The sequence below is a fragment of the Homo sapiens genome, chromosome 3 (genome assembly GCF_000001405.40).
Source record: "Homo sapiens chromosome 3, GRCh38.p14 Primary Assembly".
Classification (NCBI taxonomy): domain Eukaryota; kingdom Metazoa; phylum Chordata; class Mammalia; order Primates; family Hominidae; genus Homo; species Homo sapiens.
The window spans coordinates 84,724,166-84,749,257 of record NC_000003.12 but is presented as its reverse complement, the minus strand read 5'-3'; the positions used below and the strand labels follow the sequence as shown (position 1 = coordinate 84,749,257).

The window sequence follows — 25,092 nt, the reverse complement described above, 5'->3', positions numbered from 1 at the left end:
GTGCTAGCAACATAATCTTTTATAAGGTTTAGTTTTAGTCATGTCACACAGAGAATTCACATGGATAAGTTTTATAATTTTTCAAATCTTTTATATTTTGACTGATTCTAAAATTTCTCCTTCAACAAACTCAGACCCACTGTCTGAAACACATACTATATTTGATTGCATATACTATTTTTATTTTGTTGAATATTTACTCATTTATTCTCACTTTTAATCCATTTTAAAATACTTGTTCAAGTTTAAACATATATGCAAAGCAATTTCTTTTATTCAAAGACAAGGCTTTAAAACATATACATCTATATGATATATGCATATGAGAGAGAGAGAGAGAGAGAGAGACAGTGTGTGTGTGTGTGTGTGTGTGTGGTGTATGTATGTATGTATTTGGGTATTTGACTTAGTCCTAGGACTACATCTAAGTTCCTTCTCTATTACCCTGACACTTCCCACTTATTATCTGTTTCTCTCTGAATTTGGTACACATGAGAAAGAAAAACCAGATAGTTAAACATGTTAAAAAATCACATTATTTTGGATAATAGAAGAAATCTATGGATGCAGTGTATTGATGTATATATAAAGTTTAAATAAAGTACTTTAAACAGTCAAATTTTGAAATGATAAGTATAATTACCTAAGCTTTTCATTGGTTTATTTTTTAAAAAATACATAAACCAAGTAAAATCACATTGTACTGACATGAAGAGAAACTTTAAGGCTGCATTTTGAGTCAAATTTATTCTATTGTAGCACTTATTATAAGTATATTCATCTATTAACATCTTTTTTCCTCTGGTGTGTGATAAGCTGTTGAGCACCCACTGTGTATGTTTGTGTATCTGTGTGTTTGTGTATGTGTTTATTCTCAATATTTACCTCTACAATATATGAAAAAACCTGGAGAACTGCTGTTGCATAAGCATGTTTTTGTTGATAAATGAATAAATGTATCTTATAGCTATAAATCTAGATACCTTGTTTTTCCAAAATACCTTTTTCCATAAAAGATTGTAAGAAATCAGTATATTTAAATAACAAATAAAATTATTCAACATAATTGTATTAATCATTGACTTAGGAACATTAAGGTCAAATTCACATTTATTTATTTGTTATAATGTCTGATATAATGTTTGAAATTATTCCATATGTCCTTCTTAAGCATTTGCTGCTGGGGTTCATGGAGTTTCTTTGTTAGTTACAATCTCACCACCAATTCTTTTTAAGCATGAGGTCTTTGTTAATTATTTTTGGTTAAGCATAATAATGAACAAATATTATTTATCATGGGTTTATCTTTGTTGTAAAGTGCAAATCAAGCCATGCTTTTAACTAGAGAATTTTGCAAATACATTATCAATAGAGTTCTTTTGGATAAAAACTTCTGCCTAGTATCTAAATTAACACCGTTATTATTGGGATTCTATAATTTCTCAGCTCTATCAGAGTCAGGGAAAATATCAATAAATTCAAGTTAACTGTGAAATATTTTTAAATAAATATCTGTAGGTAATATTATTTGAACTGATCACATATCTGACACTATGGGAAAGTTTAATGCATTAATCAAAGTTGCTTTTATACTAATAGAAGCAAAATGTTCTTTAATTTGAATAGTTTGACTGAAATTAATTGAAAGCAATGGAATATATTCTCATACACAAACAGGATAATGCAATTAATATGACCACAAGATCAAAGGTAGCATGTGAAATGCTAAAACCTAAATATTTTACTCTGTGTTTGAGTCCCATAATTATTGCTGTCTTGGATACTTTTTGTTTTGTGAATTAGAATTAAATTCTTAGTCTCTAATGTGTGTATCATCCTACTTTAATTTTTATTAAATATCAAAATACTATAGAAATATTCTGCTGTTTTAGGATAAACAGTTCATCCTGAGAAGCACATATTTTTATTTCTGCAATATCCAGATCTTATAGCAAGCAGAGAGATTTTTCCATGTTACTAAAGTATTCAGTTAAACAGTTTTTTTAAAGCTCTTTTCACATAAAATAAACTTCTGACCTTATGTATATCTTATGTAATTAGTTTGAATATATGATTTTTGTGACATGATTTTCATTTTTCTTTTTAATTTTTTTTTTTTTTTTTTTTTTTTTTTGAGACGGAGTCTCGCTCTGTCGCCCAGGCCGGACTGCGGACTGCAGTGGCGCAATCTCGGCTCACTGCAAGCTCCGCTTCCCGGGTTCACGCCATTCTCCTGCCTCAGCCTCCCCAGTAGCTGGGACTACAGGCGCCCGCCACCGCGCCCGGCTAATTTTTTGTATTTCATTTTTCTTAAAACTATGACTATCTTCTGGGTTAATATGAGGATGTTTATCTATTGACTTATCTTCTCCAGGTACTGCTAATACCCAAACAAGAAATGAATGAGGGCATTCAACTTTATGATAATTCATAGAAGAATCAAGAGTTTTGCAAGTCTGAGAAAATTTTATAGTTTAAAAGGAAATTTTGATGGCAAATAAGATACAGGGACAAACCACAGTATATAGACTATAAAAATGTTGTGAAGTAAAAATTAAACTGCTAAGTTGGTGTTCAAATTCCCTGTTAGTGTAACATTGCAATATAACTTAATGCCTGTTTTATCATTCAAGATATCATTATAACAATTTCTTTTCAATTCAGATCAACTGAATTAAATATATTTTCAATTTTACTATAGAATTTGGTGGCAAACAAAATTTGAAATAAAATTAACTTGTTTAGGATGTATGCATTCTATGTATGTTCACCGTTATGTTTTTCTACATAAATATATACAAGAAAATTGTATTTAAAAAGATGTTTTTGGCACTGTATAGCACCCTAGTGCTTTCTAACCACACTAGTCTGAGCTATCAGAAGAGTCTAAGAATTACAGGACTAAATTTTTTCCTTTCAGGAGGGGATTCTTAATATAAGAGATACATTTACAAAATTGCTTCCATTACCTACAAACACCATAAAGAAAAGTAACAGTGATGCATATGGACAGAACTGCATCACCAGAAGTTAGAGGAGGAAAGCATTTCCTATCCAACTTTAAATGCTGAGAATGAATAACCAGGAAAAATGGTACAGAGGACAAAATACCAACAAAAGTCTCCAAAAGTGATGTGAAGAAAATAAGGGGCTCATCATTCTAAATTCTGCAGGAGAGCAGTAGAAGAAATCAAGGGAATCCCACATTATGTGGTAACTTTTACAATTGTATGCTTCTTTACACATTTTATTAATTGAATGACAATTTTTTATTTACTGTGGAGCACCAGAAAATTCTGACACACAGTGAAGTATTCTGCTTCTCAAAATAGTGAAGGGTCCTTCCCTTAAAAATAAATAGAAATAAAAATAAATATTATTGCTAGGCTGGTAAATCCACAAACCAAAGTTTAAGACAAATTATTATTATTCTGAATCAGTGATTCTTTTATTTAAAGTCATAAATTACTAAGTAAATTACAGTTTCTGATCTGAGAAAGTGGCTGCTAGACATATATTTCTTGATAATGTGACCTAAACAACAGCGTGACGACATGAGCTTGTGCATAGAGCCAGAAAGGGTTTAAATAACTAGCACATGTTTGGTGAACAACTATACCTGTGGTGACATTTGTAAGTATAATATCGTCAACCTAAGCGGCTTCCAGCTTGGTAATAAACATGTCTAGATACAACTGAACAATAGTATACAACTTATACTGTATGTTTAATTCCTAAACACTTTAGTCTTTGCGTATTTTTTTCACTTCACAACCTCATATTTTAATAAAATGAGTTTTTGAGTTTTGGGGAATAAATGTATGTTCTAATTAAGAAAAAATTTTAAAAGTAATAATGGATTTAAGAATATTTCAGCCAGAATACTGTTACCTACAATGTTAATTTTAGAGGAAAGGCAGCATATGATGTGGAGGAAAAATCTCCGTGTATAAATTTGATTCCAAAATTACAGTTAAGGTATTATTTTACTTTCACCTTTTTTTAAACCACTGATGGATGAATTATGGCCCATGGGTCAAAACCAGCTCACTGCTGGTTTTTATACATAAACTCTTATTGGAAAACAGCCATGTTCATTCATTTACCTATGGTCTGTCGCTGCTTTCACACTTCAGTGGCAGAGCCAAGTAGTTGTGGCAGAGACCATATGTCCCACTAAACTGAAAATTACTGTCTGGCCCTTTAGAGGAAAAGTTTGCTGATCCCTGCCCCAAACCATCAAAAACCAAGCATCAGTTCTTTGCTACATCTTTTTCATAGTAGCAATTTATAATTACCTTCAAATATTAAACTTCAGAAAATTAATTGTGTTGTTTTGAATGTTAAGAAGTTATTTGAGGTGTTGATTTTTCTACTTATTCTACCAGGTTGTCATACCAATATCAACATTGAGAAAATAAAAACGTTCCAAGAGAAAAATCAATACGCCTATAATCCCAGCACTTTGGGGAGCCAAGGCGGACGGATCACCTGAGGTCCGAAGTTTGAGAACAGCCTGGCCAACATGGTGAAATCCTGTCTCTATTGAAAATACAAAATTAGCCGGGTGTGGTGTTGCACGCCTGTAATCCCAGCTACTCGGGCGGCTGAGGCAGGAGAATCACTTGAATCCGGGAGGCGGAGGTTGCAGTGAGCCAAGATCGCGCCACTGCACTCCAGCCTGGGCCACAGACCGAGACTCCATCTCAAAGATAAAAATTAAAATTAAAATTAAAATTAAAATAAATAATGTTTAGAACAGGATCGAGGAGCTACATAGGGTTATGGGTACAATCTGTAGTCCTGCAGTAACATAATTACTTCATAGTTACTAAAACCTAAGATTTTAACATCATCAATATTACTGAATACTGAAGGGTGCTGATTAGTCCAATTTTGCTGGTAAAGCAAAAATGCAATACAAAGTCACCTGCTTATGATCAGTTGTGTCATAGCATCATCTAGATGAAAATGAACTCTTGTAGCTTCTTTGAGCTATTAGGTCTTACAAGCAAATACTTTAATGAGGGCTGTTTTTTTTTTTTTTTTTTTTCCAAGCAATGTTTTTTACTGATGACTAATATCTTTTTTTTTTTTCCTTTGAAATCTTTCCTGGATGTATTACATTGCATTAGGAGCCATGCCTTTCTGCATGTACTACTTATAGCTAACCCACCCTAGTACATCTTCTGACACTAGTTGTGTCAGAACACAACTAGCTGCTAGTTGTGTTTTCACGGTTTCTTTTTACGTTTGCTTCAGTCTTCTAGGTCAGAGTGATTTACGCATAGTGTTGTTTCTCCTGTTGCTCCTGCTATCCTCTTCTGCTTTAATGGCATGCTTATGAGGATGGATGCTGTTATTAGTCTCACTTGCTTACCTAGTATGGAGCCATTATAATCTCAATGGAAGAAGGGGGGCAGAATGATTCAATTATTATGGCTTTAGTGGATGAAGCTCATGCATCCTGTTTCTTTATCACTTTTTATTTTTAACACTTGACTTTCTTTTTGCCAGACTCTGAAAAAATTAATGAAACTTACTTTTTGCAATTCCCAATGATTTTTGAGGTATGTAGCTCTCACACAAGTATACTTACCATAAGAATAATAGAATTTCTATCTTTAGGTCAGCATCCTAACTAGATTTCCTAACCTTATTTCCATGACTACTTAAATAAGTCAAATCTGAAAGTCTATTTTTTTATTTTAGTAATCAAGACACTGAAAAATATGTAGCTCTTCATTGTGATAAAAATATTTTTATAATGGAGATTTTTGGACCTCTTTTGAAAAAATATATTTTCATTAAAAAATTTGTCTATTGCTTTTTAACAAAAAATGTAGATGTATATCACTTTGATCTTTTCATTACCTTGAGAAAACTGTCTTGAAACAGTGTGAGTAAGCAGACATTTCTGAAAGTATTTATAAATTTGAGTTCCTTCTCCAGTTTTGAAACAGTTCCAGATTCAACTGCAAGTGAAGTTTCTATCTTACATTTTCAGCTTGTCAAGAAATTAACATGTTTTACTGCTATCACACAGGACTCTGGGCCAGAGATTTTTTTCAATTTTAATCTCACTATCATTTTTCCATTTGCAAAGATGTGAGAGCCGTGAATATACTCCTTCAACAATCAAACTGTCAGTGCATTTGTCTGCTGATGAGTTTAGACTACCATTGACAAGTTCATACCACCTTTTCTGTATGTGAGTCAGCTTAGTGACATAAAATTATTGCAGTTATTCGATTGCCACAAGAAGGTGTGCATTTCTTCCTCTTGCCACAGTGACCCTATATTAATACATGGAAGCTCACTTAGTGATTTAATTTCAAAGGACTGAAGACAGTCTCTGTACAATCTTCAAGTAACCATGGTCCTTCGTTTTGCTGTGGAAAGGCTCCTGGCAGCAAAGGCTAAGTTGTTTTGCATGAATATTGAATTTCTGCTTATAAAAAATTTTACTCGCTGTTCCTTGTAGTAATTCAATACAAGTTGACTTTGTATTGATAGAATTCTTAGTGGCTCTTCATGGGGATAGACTAATAATGAAATGAGTGGTCACAAATAAAACTATAAGCATTTTTAACAGATACTATAATAATTTCTTTGACAACTAACTCAAGAATCCAAACTTTTCAAATGTTAATTTACCGGATAATATTGTGACATTAGGTATCAGGGATTTCACAGACAGTCATTAACCTGTGTGTTTCAGAAGTCAATCAACCTCCTTGTTGACTATAAACAAAGTTAAACTAATCAATAGTCTTTAATGGTCCCAGTTCCTCTGTAGATTACCCAGGTGATGTTTTCCAAGGGAATGGCTGAACAAAAGGAAGTCTTTTTAAGAGGTTTATTTTGATTTACAACCTTATATAGCTCTGGTCAGTGAAAAACATTTGTTGAATACAGATACAGCAGTATTACTTCATAAGCCCTTGTAAGAGAAAGCACTCAAGTATTATTTATTATTGTTCCTACTACTGCTACTAGTATATTATTACCAGAAATGGATCACTTGGAAGAGGATTTATATTAAAGAAATACCAAATACATACTCTGAGTAAATTCTAAAGGTAAGAGAACAATTTTACCTTATGTCTTGGCAGACAGGTGTCCTTGTAGATGTTTCAGGACAAGGAAAGGAGGTGTATCTAAAAAAGATCCATGCTTTTAAATGTACATATTATGTAAAGCATAACCATCTTAATATGTTCTTATTATTTTAATTTAAACTATAAGGCATAATGATAACCACAATGTCTGTCTGCATAAGATTTAGGACATAGTCATAATGCAAATTGGGAGATGGTTTCTGGTGTTCTTCTGCCCATTTTTGTTATTCTTTCCTGAATCTTATCATGTCCACATCCAGCAACCAGTCCCTTAGAAAAAGTACCTAATGAAGCAACTCAGAAGACTCAGAATAATAAATATGTAGGAGTACCTGTTCTTTCAGGGACAAGGAACTTTTGATCAGGCTATGTGCTTTAGAGCCTTCAATCATATCATGTAAGTTACTGCCTAATGTGTACTCTTAAAGGCCAACTCAACTCAATTATTTTCAATTTTTTTGTGTTACTGAGTTCTGGAGGCTGTTCATATGTATTTTTCAGATTAAAATTACAACTAAATGTTTAACCTTTGTTTCTACTTCTTATATGTAAATTAGATTTTACAATTTAATTTTCAAACTTGATGCTTTTTTGCATCCTGCTTCTATTTGTGAAAATCTGTAGCAATACAGATTTAGGGGATTTTTGTACTGACTGTTTTAAAACTATAAAAATTTTATTCTAAAAAGAGCTAATTTTTCTTTTGAGATTGCATATACTTCAATAGCCTAAAGGGATATTTGTATCATAAGCACAGTACTCAATAACTAAGGTTATAGTTTCACAATTATCCCCAGGAGATGATCTGGGGGAGAGATAGAAGAAAGTCAAAGAAACATAGCAAACCCCAAAAGATATCTAGATGTTTTCTAGTTCATCGTCCAACTAAGATGTTAAATAATTCAGATCACTATTAAGAAAACATTGAACTATATGTTTACCACAGTCAGATACTGGATGTGGTGAACTCAATTTGTTGACAGGAAGGGGGTATGATATTCTACTCTGGTGCTATAGATAATCAGGTGTCTAGGATTCTCTTCATTTCTTGTTAAATCAATGGAATGATGTGTGTGACTCATTAAGTGATATATTCCACATAAGACTATAATTATTTCCTTTACCTACGTATTTCTTCTTTGTACTTGAATCTAAATGGTAGAAGCAGCAGGAATTTAAGGAAACTGTAGTCAAGAATGTGCTTTGAGAGAAATCAATGGACTGCTTTGACTGGTCAGGTCAATCAAAACAACTTGTGCATACTGAAACATCCTAAAATAATTGTATAGAGTCTGGTGGTGTGGGGAGCATGATTGCTAAAACATGCTCTAACTGTTATTAATTTTGGATTTTTTAAAAGAAAAAAAATAAAGAGATTTGGCTATGGGTTTCATCCTTCATCAAGAGTTAAGATACAGTGTTTTAGCCAGTAATTGAATGTATGAGTCATTTGACCTTTCATAATTCACTATATTGCTATTCAGTTTGCAATCAGACTATGAAGCTCTTTATAGTTAATTTTGTTTTTCCTCATTTTAATAGCTGTATTTCTTTATATCCCATGTAATTCAATGGAAGTCTTATCAGTGGGAGATATCAATTAATTCATTGCTAGCTAATTTTCATTCAATTCAGAAATATTGATAGTTCAACTTAGATCTGATGAACTTCCACTGTGAAAATTAGATATCCATACAATCATGTGCATTGCATCAAATTCAAGTTTATTGTGCTTAGATGCTTAGATTCTTGCAATGCTCTTGATTTCCCTTTCCATAACTAACAACTGTTTGATTTCTGAATTACTAGACATATTCTGAAAATTAATTTCTTTTCTAGAAGAATTAGGCAGCTGACTTTTTGAGCTCCAATGCTGCTTCTAGGAACAAGCACAAAATTAAACTTGATTTATACGTTATGCATATCTTAAAGAAAACATATTTCTAAGTGTTTGTAAATCTTGAATGCTTCATTCATGATGGTTCAATTTATTATTACTAATAAGGAGGTGATAACGTGGCATGTGGTATTCATCCAGAACAGGGGTGACATTATTCAGCACTTTCAAAGACTGCTTTGCTTGCTGCAGGACTAGCAGTCAATGTGGTAAATGAGATGTATACCAACCACTGATTTTTCTGATTCCATCCCCTTAAAAACCCAGAATGTATTTGAAGACAGAGCAAGGTATTTTCTACTGTTAAATCAGGCATAGGCAAATCGGTAGTTTGTTGAACAAATAGAAACGGCACTCCTGAAGAGCTTGGAAGATTGTTATTAGATTCTCTCTGTTGAGGATTCTAATTCATACCACTTGAAATACTAAGTAGGCTGCATCCAAAATAAACTAAAATCATGTGGATCAGAAGCTAATTGCTAGCAAGCTGTTTAACCAAAACTGAATTTAACAAGCTGTCTTCATTATTTGGATATTAACTGACAAAATACCCAAATTATTGATAAATATAGGGATTCTCAGAATGTAAGACCATGCTATGTCTTCACCAGTTCATTACATTTTACTTCTGGGAAAACAGAGAGACCATGTTTCCAACCTTTGCATTTAGGAAGAGCCATATGACAAATTTTATCTGACAGAATGTGGGCAGAAATGATCTTAATTTTATCTTTCATTGCTTATCAGATGGCTGAAGGCAAAGAATCCAGTGAAGGACTTTGAGGTCCTTGGATGAAGCCCTTGGTGCCTGATCCCTGAATATAAAAGGCTGCCTGATAAAACCTGATTGGATGAATGTAGATAAAAAATAAACTTTTACTGTGCTATATAAATGAGATTTTAGGGATACCTGTTATAGCAGGTAGCTTCCTCTGAGTAATACATGCATGATAAAAAAACATGTGAAATATAATGGCTATAGTACTGGTATATATGCTTTAATAATATTTGATTCCTTAGTCAAACCATACATTTCTCTCTTTCGTATTTAGATAACAAGCATTAAAGCAGAGAGTTTACAAATTTAAGCCAGTCTCATCTCTTATGCTATTGTCAGGATTTCAAACCTGAGTTATTAGAAATAAAAGGGAATACAAAAGAAATGTTTTTATTCTTCCACTTCCAATTAACCTATCCTGTTATGTAAAAAAAGCAAAAACAATAAAGGACATAAATTTCAACTTTTACAAATGTCTGAACTATAGGTATTTTTTTATTATACTTAATATTATTCTTCAGTGACTGAATGTTTAAGAATGTATAAAGATGTAAAACTGAACATATAAGAACAAATTAAATAATAAAATAAATGAGTTGTTTTTAAATGCCAAGGTGTTATGTAGCTTGTAAAATGTTGCCTCTTTGTTCATATACGTAGTTGTCGTTTCTTGCAAGATAAAATAAATAAATAAATAAAAAGGACCCTAATTGTGTATCATCCCAATAGTATGAACAATGAGGTAGTTCAGTATAATTCATGTAGCACAGAACCACAAAATATGTGTCTTCCAATATGTCATGCCTTATAATTCGTCTGAAGTTAATAAAGAGGTTTAATTTGTCAAAAAAGTCCTCTAAATGCACTTTCATACAATAATGTCCTAATGTTTTATACTTATGTAGACTGAAAATTCCTGAGCAACTGAAACTTTAGGTTTCTATTTTCTGTAACCACAGTAATTCATGAGATGTAAACATAATTCCTCTTGTTTTTTATATAAAACTTAAAGTTGGATGTTGTTTTAGGCTTGAACATTTAGAGCTCAACTTGCTCAATACTTTACTCACTGTCTGATTTTGGTTCCTGGAGTTTCACATTCAGGCCACAGAACTATAATTAGAAAGGGACAATTGGTACTCTGCCCCAGTTCACCCAAATTTAGAGGGTACAACATGAAAATAATAATTGTAAAGACTTAGCACCTACTTAACAAGAATGATTAGCTAAAAAAGGAAGTTACCAGATGGCACACATGGTTAATAACATCCATCTGTGAGCCTCAGCATGAAGAAAATGAGTTTATTTGAGGGCACATTTAGTGCCGTTTACACCAAATAAAAGATTATTACACCTTTGTTAGGGCAGGTTCCCGTTAAGTGCTTCTTTCTCAAGCCTGACCCCGGCAGAATATGTGCTTTTGTTCTTGGAGGAGAGAGGAACAAAATAGTCTTAAGATTTGTGGGAGCACAGAAACCATCTTTTCACAACTCCTGTTTGCCTTGCCCTGTCTCCTTCCTCATGAGACTAGCAAATTAAGATAAATAGTTTTCACTAAACTACCTTTTACCAGGAGCAGTACAGCTGGATACACTGAAAGATGAACAATAGAGATATATTGAAATAAATCCAGGTTGTAATATTCTAGCATTCAGATGAGATAGTCTGGATTCTAAAATACATAAACTGTTAGTATACCAGTGGGGTTAAATACTTGAGATGTACAGCTAGACTACCCAGGTTCGAATCTCATTTCCATTTCTTACCATTTTTGTGACTTAGATAAGCAACTTAAATTCCCTATAGCTAAGTTACTCCATCTGGAAAGTGAGGATGATAAAAACAATAAAACCTGTCTATGAGGGTAGTTGGGAAGTGGAAATGTGTTATTTTTAAAGGCTTTAGAACAGACTCTTGAACATAATAAGCATCATATGGGCTTGACTGATTGAATAATGACAATTTTAAAACATCTTATTTAAATAGAATAATTGGCTTGTGTGAACATTGTAATGTTTTTTACACAGTTTGAAAGGAATTAATGCTAGCTTTCCATTGCATTTTATAATCCAATCTAATGCCTAACCATGTAACTAATCTAGTACAAACTGTCAGGAAAATATAATTTGGGCAATTATCCAAGTGGAGCAAGATAGAGCCTATGTGATACATAAGCACATGTATAATCCTTAATAGAGACATATGTCTATTTTTGTCCTGCTGAGGCTATCAGCTATATTCCCTGTGACTTAACCCATTTGATTTTTTCTTACAACGAAATCCACCAGAAGCGAAGAAAGGTGAAGCGTACTTAGGTGAATTGCCAGAGGTCTCATTCAGGTTTCCAGAATATCATGAACTTTGATAAATCTAGAAATATCATCCTTGCCTTGTTTGTAGCTAAAGAGTATCACCAACTGCAAGTTAGTGGGTGCAGTGCACCAGTGTGGCACATGTATACATATGTAACTAACCTGCACAATGTGCACATGTACCCTACAACTTAAAGTATAATAATAAAATAAAAAAAATAAAAAAAAAGTATCACCAATACCATAACAAACCTGGAGGCTGAATGTCCATGAATGTGGGTAATTTTTTAAATGTTTAAAAGGCTTGTACATATACCTTTAGTCAAGTCCAAAAAATGTAAAAGAAGCAATATTAAACAAGCCCTGTGTTACTCATCAGATTTAAATAAAATAAAAATATATACTAAGGCACATATGTGAGAATAGTGTTTTAGGTTAATATTTATCTTTTAGTTGGAAATCATTTCTTTGGAAATCCTTTTTGAGACATTATCACTACTTACCTGTAAATACATTAAAGATATCACTTTGAAATATTGCCTGTGAAATCACACATTTTGAACTATGGAGTTTTTACTTTCAATGAAGACCCAATTTTATAGCATGGAAAGAAAAATAGTCACCCCCCCCTTTTTAAACAAATACATGTAGTATGGAGTCACTGTTAATTTTGTGATTCCTATTTTCTTCCTTTAAACATGAGATTGACTATTGAATCACTGCATGAAAGGCTTTCCTGGGTCAATTTAAGTTGCTTATTTTTTAGAAAGAAAATATTGGGTCTCAGGTGTAATACATGTGAATATATCTATGAGACAGTTAGTGTGTGTATTTAAATTCATTCTACACCTGGCTTGGTGAAATTTAATGTCCACAGGTCCCCTCAACTCCTTTCGGCCCTCTGCTTCTTTACCTAATTTTGTCCTATCTTTATTGTTTCACCTTAGAAAGATATATAACTTGGACATATTTAGTAGAATTATTTGTTAGCATATGTGCTGTCATAATTTCAGCATAGGTTAATGGAAATGCACCAAAATATCTCCCCTTATGTCTGCAGGAGATATTCTTAATTGCCACAAGTCTAGAAAGACACAGGGGAGAGAATGCACTTTTTTTTTTAAACACATTTACATTTATTTATTCTTTTTCCAATGTTTTACATTTCTTTTATCATTATTATTATTATTATTATTTTACTTTAAGTTTTAGGGTACATGTGCACAATGTGCAGGTTAGTTACTTATGTATACATGTGCCATACTGGTGTGCTGCACCCATTAACTCGTCATCTAGCATTAGGTATATCTCCCAATGCTATCCCTCCCCACTCCCCCCACCCCACAACAGTCCCCAGAGTGTGATGTTCCCCTTCCTGTGTCCATGTGTTCTCATTGTTCAATTCCCACCTATGAGTGAGAATATGTGGTGTTTGGCTTTTTGTTCTTGCGATAGTTTACTGAGAATGATGATTTCCAACTTCATCCATGTCCCTACAAAGACATGAACTCATCATTTTTTATGGCTGCATAATATTCCATGGTGTATATGTGCCACATTTTCTTAATCCAGTCTATCATTGTTGGACATTTGGGTTGGTTCCAAGTCTTTGCTATTGTGAATAGTGCCACAATAAACATACATGTGCATGTGTCTTTATAGCAGCATGATTTATAGTCCTTTCAGTATATACCCAGGAATGGGATGGCTGGGTCAAATGGTATTTCTAGTTCTAGATCCTTGAGGAATCACCACACTGACTTCCACAATGGTTGAACAAGTTGACAGTCCCACCAACAGTGTAAAGTGTCCCTATTTCTCCACATCCTCTCCAGCACCTGTTGTTTCCTGACTTTTTAATGATTGCCATTCTAACTGGTGTGAGATGATATCTCATTGTGGTTTTGATTTGCATTTCTCTGATGGCCAGTGATGGTGAGCATTTTTTCATGTGTTTTTTGGCTGCATAAATGTCTTCTTTTGAGAGTGTCTGTTCATGTCCTTCGCCCACTTCTTGATGGGGTTGTTTGTTTTTTCCTTGTAAATTTGTTTGAGTTCATTGTAGATTCTGGATATTAGCCCTTTGTCAGATGAGTAGGTTGCGAAAATTTTCTCCCATTTTGTGGGTTGCCTGTTCACTTTGATGGTAGTTTCTTTTGCTGTGCAGAAGCTCTTTAGTTTAATTAGATCCCATTAGAGAATGCACTTTTAGAGGAAGTGAGAACTAACTGGCTGTCTTTGTAAGCAGATAGGGGCAACTTTATTTCCTAGAACATTGAGAGAGCATAAAAGGGAAGTAAGAAAGCAAGCCAAAGTATCACTTTAATATAAAAGCAGCTCTTTAATATCTGATGCACATTATTATATGGTCTAATTCAAGGTAGAAGGGAGGATAAAATATTTGTTTCTTTTAATCTGTGACCTTATATGAATTAAGATGATATAGATTATAAATAACCCTATCTTTTGGTTACTGGACTACAACAAAAGTTTATCTATCTCTCACTCCTGCATAGCCTGCTATTGGTCTTGGTGATTCTCCTATGCAGGGTGTTCAAAACATGCTGTCATAATGATTATGAAAAAAGAAAAGACTGTGGTGTTAAGCATCAGCTTTGCAACATCAACTAATAAGTAATACATATTACTTTTTCCTTATAAAAATTGCAACAAAAAGTTTTTCTTATTGAAGCAACAAACATTTTTTGCAGAAGTCTAATATAACCTCCATTGTATATATAAATATAAAACATATAAGTGTATATGTTATATAATGTATTCCATGTGGATTTATTCATTTCATTTCTCTGAATTAGGACTAAACATGTGTTCTTGTACTTTTGGACTTGCAGGAGCAGGATGCAATAGAATATATTCTGAAACAAGTAACATTTCATGATTTGATCATACCTACTGATATGGTTTGGCTGTGTTCCCACCCAAACTTTATCTTGAATTGTAGCTCCCATAATCCCCATGTGTCTTGGGAGGGACCCAGTGGGAGGTCATTGAATCATGGGTAAATTGAATCATGATTTTTTTAAATTGAACTGAAAAAATCAGTTTTTCCCATGCTGTTCTCATGATAGGGAATAAGTCTCATGAGATCTGATGGTTTTATAAAGGGCAGCTCTCCTGCACACATTATCTTGACTGCTGCCACGTAAATGTGCCTTTGCTCCTCATCTGTCTTTTGCCAAGATTGTGAGGCCTCCCCAGCCATGAGGAACTGTGAGTCCATTAAATCTCTTTTTCTTTATCAATTACGCAGTCTGGGGTATGTCTTTATTAGCAGTGTAAGAACAGACTAATACACCTAGTATCATGTATTATGCACATGTAAACTCCAGTAATTTTCATCACTTTCTTCCGTGTGTCAAAATACTACAGTTTTATTCTTGCTTCTCAGTGATACAACACTTAATCCAGTGGTTTCATATTCCTTATCTGATTGTATTTCTCTGGCATGTGACACATTTGACCACGACTTCTTCCCAAATCTTTCTCTTCTCTTGAATTCTTTGACGCTGTTATTTCTGTTGTCTTCCTCCTTAGTTTCCTCCTCTGACTGCCATGCTCTTTAGATTTTATCTTTCCTAGAATTTTAATTCTAAATCCTATTCTCTTATCATTCATCATATTTTTCTTGAATATTATTCAATACACTCTCCTTAGTTTTGAGGGATTTAGGAAAATCAGGCACCAACTGTGGCTACTGTTGGGACTTCAGACTGAGAAGGAGTTGGGATGAGGTTTATCTGAAAAGAGGAAGAAGAGTATTAATCCTAGGAAATGACATCTGTAAGAAACCAAAGTCAAAACGAGGTCAATTTGTTAAGCATAAAAATATTATATAGATAATGAGCAACAAGCTGGGTAAGATAAGATTGAATAGCAGGTATCAACAGCAGGTTCATAGAGTCAGGTAATGATAACAGTAGGTGATAGTTATTAAGAACTTATTCTATATTGATATCATATAGGCAATTTGTATATTCAGGGTTATAACCTCTTCTCTGAAACTCTGTGTGCCAGATGTTTTGCATTTTTGAGTATCACAAATTTTAGAAAGCCTGCACACTGCATATATGGCATAATTGGCACTACCCCCAAATCAAACATATAAATATTACACAATTTATGATAAATAATGACTACCACGAACTACAGTAGCCTGCCTTCAGGTCAGGTAGGATTTTGCCAACAGATGATTTTGCAATAAACTTACCAGGAAAGAAAGGAAAAAAAGCAAACTTTCAGTTTTCAGAACTTGATATATCTCACGATTGTAGAAAAGGTATGCTGTGTCTAAATTATCTCATTCAGTCATTGTGAAATATTAAATTATTATTATCCCCATTATTCACAGACAGGAAAACTAAGTTTTAGAGATAATAATTCAACAATAGATGATTGGTAGATGACAAGGCTAGTATTTGAACTTAAGTCTGTGTGACAGTCTGTTCCATTTTCTCTTCACTACAATGCCGCAGTGATGACAGTCTGAGAGACACAAATACTTTTGAAGCAAATCTTGCTGAACTATATTGAAAAAGCACTCAAATCTCATGCTTTCAAACAGTATGTATATGTCTGTGACTTCCAAATCCGTCTCTATAACTTGTGTTCCTCTAGAAGTCTCCAGACTCATATTGCTAACTATGTGTAAATATCCAGCTGCAGGACCCTCAGCTCCTCCAACCCCATATAATCAAAACTTCACTGAGATTTTGACTGGCAAATGAGGATTACTTTCATTTGTCTGGATCTTGGTTACAAATTCCATTTTTAAGTCTCAGAGTTCCTTTTGATTGCGCCTCCTAATAAAGGTCTTTATTTTAGCCTGGACTATTTCAGTGAATTGTATGTCTGCCTCAAGTCTTTCCCTTTTTAGTGGCTACAAAGATTATGTTTAAAGTCCTTTTACTTACTTGTGTTATTTATCTGCATTAATGATAATATAAACAACTCACAATGTCTATGGGATAATTTTCAAATTCCTTAACACTCCATGAAAGAACTTCCTACACCTGACCCATTTTACCATGCTAATAATACCTCCCATAAACCCCATAATCCCCTCTATGATCCAGTCACATTGAGCTTCTGGTTTTTGAGTTGTTTCTGCTGTTTTATGCCCCATTATTTTAGCATATATAGTCCTCACTTATTTTCTATCTCATTCTGCTCTTTCTCACAGACCCATTTCTCAAAACCCAGGTGAGAACTACTCCCCATGTAGCCTCACAACTTACTGAAGCAGAGAGAATTGTTTTCAGTTTTAGGCTCAAATGGAGGTAGTAATTATCACACTAAATTGTATTTATTCAAGTGTCTTTGTCACTCACTTGTTTGAGTTTTTAGATGATGAAGATCACTAAAAATAGTCTTTCATAAACTTTACTTACAGAGTATAAATCATAATGCCTGATTACTGAATAGATGAATCAGAATTTAGGGCTTTTTGAATTATACCAGTAATAAGCCACTGTCTATTCTTAATTATTTCTGATCATTAAAAAATGCAATAGTTAACCCCAGGAGGTTTTAGACTACAGAGACCTAGGGAAATCTTAGAAATTGTCCACAGTCCATTTTATACGTTTATTGACATAAAAACTGCCTACATTTGAGGTAGCTCTATACTGAATTATCTAGAATTATGAAGTACTGCATAAAATAAAATATTTTGAATTAAATTAGCAAAAGTGTCAGAATTGCTATTAGTAATCCCAAACAATATACATTTACATGCTTTTTGGGTCAAAAAAGAGTGGCAATACTTTAAGGTTAAGTAGTTTTAAGAGAATTTGAGATACTTGATATGAGGCATTTTACTTTTGCTTATCACACCATGAAGAAAGTTATACATCTATACTATTTAAGGGTTATTTCATTTTCTAACTTTTAGTCAATCTTGTATCATTATGTTAAAGTGAAAGTCATCAGCATAGGTTAAAAGAGCATAACTACTAAAATAGGGGAATAAAATAAAATGAAGTAGCACAGCATTTAAGATTTAATTTTGTTGATTAAAACGTCCATCAGAGAAGGCTACAATTAGAAATTATTCAAAACTTGAAGTTTTATCTTGGAAAAAATGCTTGTTCATAAAAAAGGATGAATTAAATTTTAAGGAGATTAATGTATTAGTGTACATGACATAAAGTCTGTTATTCCATAGTAACATTTTATAAAAATAAAAACTCAGAAGAATACAGTGTAGCATAAAAAAACCTTAATGCATATACACTGGAAAATAAATGTATCTGTGTTAGACCAGGTTCTGTTAGAAGCTAACACCAAGATATGATTAAATATGCAATGATTTTACTAGGGCAAAGATCTGTGTGAGAAGAAAGAGGAAGGGAGACTGAAATGGTTGGGAGAGGCATCAGACCAAGATGCACGCCAAATCCCAAGAGAAAGCCGGAGCAGGGAAAGATGAGTGGAAGCATAATCCACTGCTGTGTAATTTAAGAAAGGTTCAACAGGTCCATCTGGAGTCGAGTTGAAGCCATCATCAGAGAAACACTGGGTCTCCCAATATCAGCATACCTTTCTATCACTGCACTTACTCACTGAGTGAGAGCAGCCTGTGGGAAGTTGGGGCCTCAGCACTAACCGAGGCTTGGATCTCAGAATGCAGTAGCCAGAGTTCTCAGTCAATTATGCTCTTCAAATTTGGAGATCTGTTTGTTGCATCCTTGTGGCCACTACAATATCTTTCTCACTTCTGTTTCTCTGGAAGAAAATACCATGTATTAGAACAGTAGGAAGACAGACGGATGGTTCAGTGTTCTAAATTCTGTATTCTTAAGTTTTTCACCTTGGAGAAATTAACAAATTGACATCTATAAAAGGTTCAGAATAGAAATTATCTAGGGCATCCACAGATTGTAAAATAGGTAACTTCTTTGCTCACTTGGCTGGATATTGCTTGACCAAAGAAAAATTAAGCATCGAATGTTTTCATTTAACATCATTCTGTTTGTGTCTCTTGCATGTCTCTAGTAGATGCTATAGGATGGCAGTTCATCATCACCCATCCCTGCTCCTCTCCTTCCCTTTCTCTTCCTCTACTGTAGGGACTGTACAGATTAATGCTCTCCATGTCAAGTTTCCTTGCAAGTAGGGGAACTATGACACAACATTGAAACGTGATATGTAAAAGCACATCTTTGAGGAAGGAGAGTTAGGACTAATTTTGTTTCTTGATAACATCAATCAGATGTCCCTGAGCATTTCTTCTTTCTTCCTGTCTTGAATGTAGAGGGTATATCTCGAATTGCAACTGTTAATTTGCAACCATAGTGACAAGTACGTGAACAAACATCACTATGCAAAGAATTGTATTGTCAACGTAAAGCGTCCAACTCTGTAAAATATACGGAGATTTATTCTGAGCCAGTCTAAGTGACCAATGACCCATGAAGCCTGAAGAGATCTTGAAAACATGTGCCCACGGTGGTCAGGCTACAGCTTGGTGTTATACATTTTAGGGAGACATGCGACATAAATCAGTACATGTGGATATATATTGGTTCAGTATAGAAAGGCAGGACAACTCAAAGCAGGTGCGGCCAGGTAGTAGGTGGATTCAAAGATTTTCTCATTGGCAATTGGTTGAAAGAGTTTTCTTTTCTTTCTTTTTTTTTTTTTTTGACTGAGTTTCACTCTTGTTACCCAGGCTGAAGTGCAATGGTACATCTCACTATCTCGACTCACTGCAACCTCTATCTCCTGGGTTCAAGCCATTCTCCTGCCTCAGCCTCCCAAGTAGCTGGGATTACAGGCATGTGCCATCACGCTGGCTAATTTTTGTATTTTTAGTAGAGATGGGGTTTCACCATGTTGGCCAGGCTGGTCTCGGCTTCCCAAAGTTCTGGGATTACAGGCATGAGCCACTGTGCCCAATTGAAAGAGTTGTTTCCTAAAGACCTGGAATCGGTAGAAAGGGATGTCTGGTTTGAGATAAAGAATTGCAGGGAACAAAGTTTTATCGTGTAGATAAAGCCTCTAGGTCGCATGCTTTAGAGCTCTTATCAGACCTAAAATGGTGCCAGACTCTTAGTTAATTTTCTCATTGTTTAGGGAAGACCTGGAAATGGAAGGGGATTCTCTACAGAATGAAGATTTTCCCCACAAGAGACACTTCGCAGGGCCACTTCAAAAAATGTCAAATAAATATATTTTGGGGTAAAATATTTGGATTATTTCAGGGCCTGCTATCTGTCATACTGGTATCTGATTGCTACTGAGTCAGCTTTGTCAGTCTTAAGGTTTCTCTTTTAATGGTAATGCTGGCCAGCTAGGCCTGAATTCATAAGGGGTAAGGCATAATGAGGCACGTCCAACCACCCATTCCCATCATGGCCTGAACTAGTGTTTCAGGTTTACATTAGAATGCCCCTGGCCAAGGGAGAGGGCCATTCAGTTGGTTGGGGGGCTTAGAATTTCATTTTTGGTTTACATTCTGATGAAAGACCACTGAGCAGCCTGATACACATGCAGATACTTCGCATTGATAGGATTAAATACTCCATCCTAACTCCATGGATAAAATGATTTGACTTGTCTGCTTTCATCATTACCACTTGATATATTGATAACATTTCTTGTTATTTACCATATCCAAATTTACCTTTGTGAAGTCTCATCCTTTCGATAAATGAATATATGTATTTTGAGGACATGACTAGCTAATATGATACATAAATACATGCCGGGGTAGTAAAGGATGGATGAAGAGTTAATGCAATATTGGTATTTTAAGAGGATCTTCTGGAGAAGGAGTGTCTTATCTCTAAAAATTTAAAAACAACTTTTTAAATAAGGAGGCCTCATTTAAAAAAAAAGTTTCACCTCACATGAGGAAGGCAGTTATGTACTCTGCATTGGCTAAGTGCTTATCCTGGAAGCAATAAATATTAGGTTTCTGAGACCCCTATATTTAAAACAGTTTAGTTACATGAGTTTTGTTTTGGTTGAGTATGTTGAATGAGAAGTGTCTTTCAAAGGACTGGAAATTGAAGAAAACATAATTCCAGAAGTCGTAGATGTTATGTTAAAATTGTTTTATTTCTGATAAAATGACTTAAAATAACCCTCCAATTTGGGATATTTTTATTTAAACTTTATAAGACTAACAAAGGACCAATTTACACCATCTGCTTCAGTTACACTCTGATGTGTATTTTCTCTCCATTTTTTTTCTCTTTAAATAGACATTCTGTTTGGCACCTTGTGCTTAAGTACATGTCTTTGAGTAAAAAATGTAGTTTGTCTGACTTCCTGTCAAACCAATATTTATTCACAAATATCTGTTTTGTTGCTTTCTCACATAAAATCATATAGCACTTTTCCAATGTGAAGAGTTGGCTAGTTGGTGATAGTGTGAGCTACCAGCTGGAGCTTTTACAGTTTTTAGTATGCCAGCTGCTTTCATGATGGACAATTTGTTCTCTGCCTTTAGCTTTACTTTTTTTTTTTTTTTTTAAACGGAAGTGTGTTACTTTTGCTCCAATTATGAGAGGACAGGATATTGCCTCATATTTTAAAAGTACATATTTTGATTGTTCAGTTAACAATAACAATAGCATTTCTTTTGAAACTATTATTCTGGTGAACTGTTCTTGAGCCAAAGGTGAATCAGACACTAAGCCTCACCTCTCTGTAAGATATCTTTCAACTATCTTTAAAAAGTTCATTCGAAGTTTCTGTTAACATAGCATATTTGAAGAAGAGAAAAATGGAACAAGTGCTGGGAAGATAGACCAGAATCTTTCACTTATAAGTGTGTTTTTTGTGGAATAATTGCTGGGCAATTCTAATATTTTTGCCTGTCCTCTTGCTGCTTCAGGAAAGTAAGAATCAGATCTGCTTGTCCTGACTTTGCCTGGGGACTGTTTTACAATCAATGAGAAGCCCGTACAATTATTTTCTCTAAGTTATTTGACTATGTTTCTGAAACAAAATTTGAACTATGAGGGGTCAACAATAAAAACCCAAGAATACTGAAAATGAACTTTTCCCTGGCTATTTATAGGACTCTTTTGTTTGGAAGAGGCTTCTGTTTTTGCCATTATCTTCATGGGCATTTTTTAGCGTATGTGACAACTTGGAAACAAACTAAATTCAGTTGTGATTAAATAGAAAATTCATAGTCTTAAAACTCACCATATAAATACCCATTACCTCTATGAGGCTTAAAATTATATTATAACCAGAGCACTTCAATTCACTGGTAAATTACAGCAAAAAATAAAAAGAAAGAAAAATACACCTAAATCAGGTTATATATGCAGCCTACGAGTTTAGAAATGTATTGTTGAGTAGCAAATGGATGTTTTCAAAATTTCATGTGATAGGAATGAGAAGGACAAACAAAAAAAGGTCCACTTTTGTTAAAATATGTCCCTGTCTCTGATATAACCCTACTTAAATGCATTTAAAAAGATGTTGAACAACACCTTTTTTCCCGTAACTGTACCTCATAGCCAAAGAAGTTATCTAGATAAAGATTATTCACATATTTATTCATTCACTCATTCAGTCATTTAAAAAAATACTTCTAAGCACATCTGCTATGTACATAGAACCAAGTCAGTTTTATTCTGAAGTCTTAAATGTTTCTTAACTCTATTAACCTAAAACTTAGATAAATAGTTGGGATGGTATTTTGGGAATTAATATTATAATCTCAGCTTATCTTATGTATAATTCAGATCCTGAAGTTAAGCGTTGATGGTCTGTTTCATGCTACTTTATTTTGGAGAATGAGATTAACATAATACTGTATTAAAACTTTTTAAAGATTGTGAGAATATAACTAAATTGAAGTAAAAGAGAATGTTATACCTAATGATAGTTTATTCTCTCTTCAGAAATCTTGAATTGTTGGATTTTATGTTATGTGTAAAGTTAAATTTCATCTAAATATATGACAGAAGGATTGTTTAAATCTATGAAGGTAAATGTTCTATAAATGATCCCAAGATGCAATGCAAAATTATAACATGTGCACACATATAGATATACAGACACACATACATATATGAGCATGTGCAATGGAATTATATTTGCCTTTCAGATTGCCTGAGGCTTCATAAGGAGTTTATTTATGAAGTTTTCTTCTTGAACTTATCAAGGAAATACAATTGACTATATTTAAAGTTATTATTTAGGTACACATGTGAAAATATCTGTATCTAGGTAGATTTAGATCCCATATATATTATTTTATTCTCATTTTTGAGGTGAGGTATAATGTACAAATTATGTATGAATATCAGTCTTAGACTAAAATCAGAGCTTTAAGAAGTATTACCAAATTATTGAAGCAAGTTAGTATTCAAATTTCTACTGACAACTATTAACTGTAAATCCTTCTGGATATTTGGACTTGTAATATATTATAGAATGAATATTTTGGCCTAAAATATAAACATTTGCTAATTCATAAATACAAAAGCAAAACACAGAGAAATAACAAATAAAGGGTGTGGTTTGATTTCTGTTGACTTAGCACTTCTGTCACCATTTGTCCAAGTTCTGCTTTTTACAAAAATCAAGGCAAAAACAAAGTGAAAACACAATTCCTGTGCCATGGTTTAAAATGTATATGTGTTTTCTTTAAATAAACAAATTTTATTTGTAGCTTCTACTGGGAAAAAATTGCAACTGCTAATGGGGAAAAAAAAAGCGAAACCCATACCATGTTAGGGAGACATTTTCTATTTGTCTATCATTTTGAACTTAATTACGGCTTGAACAGTTGTATTTAAATAAGCTGCTCCGATATACAACAGTTTTTAAGAGATATACAAATCAATTTCACAGTTTGAAATTTATAGTAGTTCTCCCCTTTTTCATTTTTCTTTTTTTATGGTTTCAGTCATTGGTCAATATTAAATAGAATATTCCAGAAATAAAACAATCTGCATGTTTCAATTTGTGTGATATTCTGAGTAGTGTGATAAAATTTCTCACCATCTCACTCTGTTCCTCTGGGGACATGAGTCATCCCTTCGCACAGCATATCCACGCTGTGAATGCTCTGGCCCGTTAGTCATCAACATCATCTACCCCTGACATCTAACCACTGACATCGTCATGGCTCAGTGATCCAGGCACCAAAAGCAGATGCCTAGGTCACTTCATTTCATCTCATCATGTAGGCATTTGATCATCTTACATCATCCCAAGAAGAAGAGTGAGTAGAGTACAATACAATAATATATTTTGAGAGAGGGACCACATACACATATAATTTATTAGAGTATATTCTTATACTATTTTATTATTAGCTATTGTTATTGATCTCTTACTGTGCCTAATTTATAAATTAAGCTTTATTGTAGGTATGTAAGTACAGAAAAAAACATAAGATTTATAGGGTTTGGTATCATCTATAGTTTCAGGGATTATCCATTGGAGGCCTTGGCACATATCCCCAGCAGATAAGGGAGGCCTACTGTATATATAGCAACATATAACTTACATGTATAGTTTAAAATGAATCTTTACCAAAATAATACATGTACACAATGAAAAATAAAATTTAACAAAGGAACTTATGAGCCAAAGACATATTTTCAAAACCCTACCTTTCCTACCTCTGACCCACTCTTTGAGGCAAACTATTTATTACTCCTATTTTAGTTCTTTTGGCGATTGCCTGCATAATTCTTGAAAGTATGCCTAGTCTTTTCTTCCTGTCATGTCAGATTCGGATAGCATATGTTCAGGCCTTGATTTATCTAACATTTACCACCTCGTTTATTTCCAGCATTCATATTTATATTTTGAATTTATTTGTTAAGATAAAAACTTGAATAAATGTTATAAAAACTATTTGTCCTGTTTCATGTATTTTTGTCAGTATTTTTTTATTTGTATAAATTTAAGGGGTATAAGTGCAGTTTTGTTACATGGATATATTGAGTAGTGGTTAAGTCTGACTTTTCGGTGTAAATATAACCC

The 25,092-nt window shown here is 33.7% G+C and overlaps 1 long non-coding RNA gene across 1 annotated transcript in view; it reads left to right on the top strand.

The window, feature by feature from the left end:
• Window positions 1-25,092, top strand: part of LINC00971 (long intergenic non-protein coding RNA 971) — a 231,171-nt gene that overhangs the window by 120,318 nt on the left and 85,761 nt on the right. The window contains exon 11 of the long non-coding RNA NR_033860.1: window positions 2,921-3,213. This is a non-coding gene — a long non-coding RNA (long intergenic non-protein coding RNA 971). The remainder of the gene's footprint in view (window positions 1-2,920; window positions 3,214-25,092) is intronic.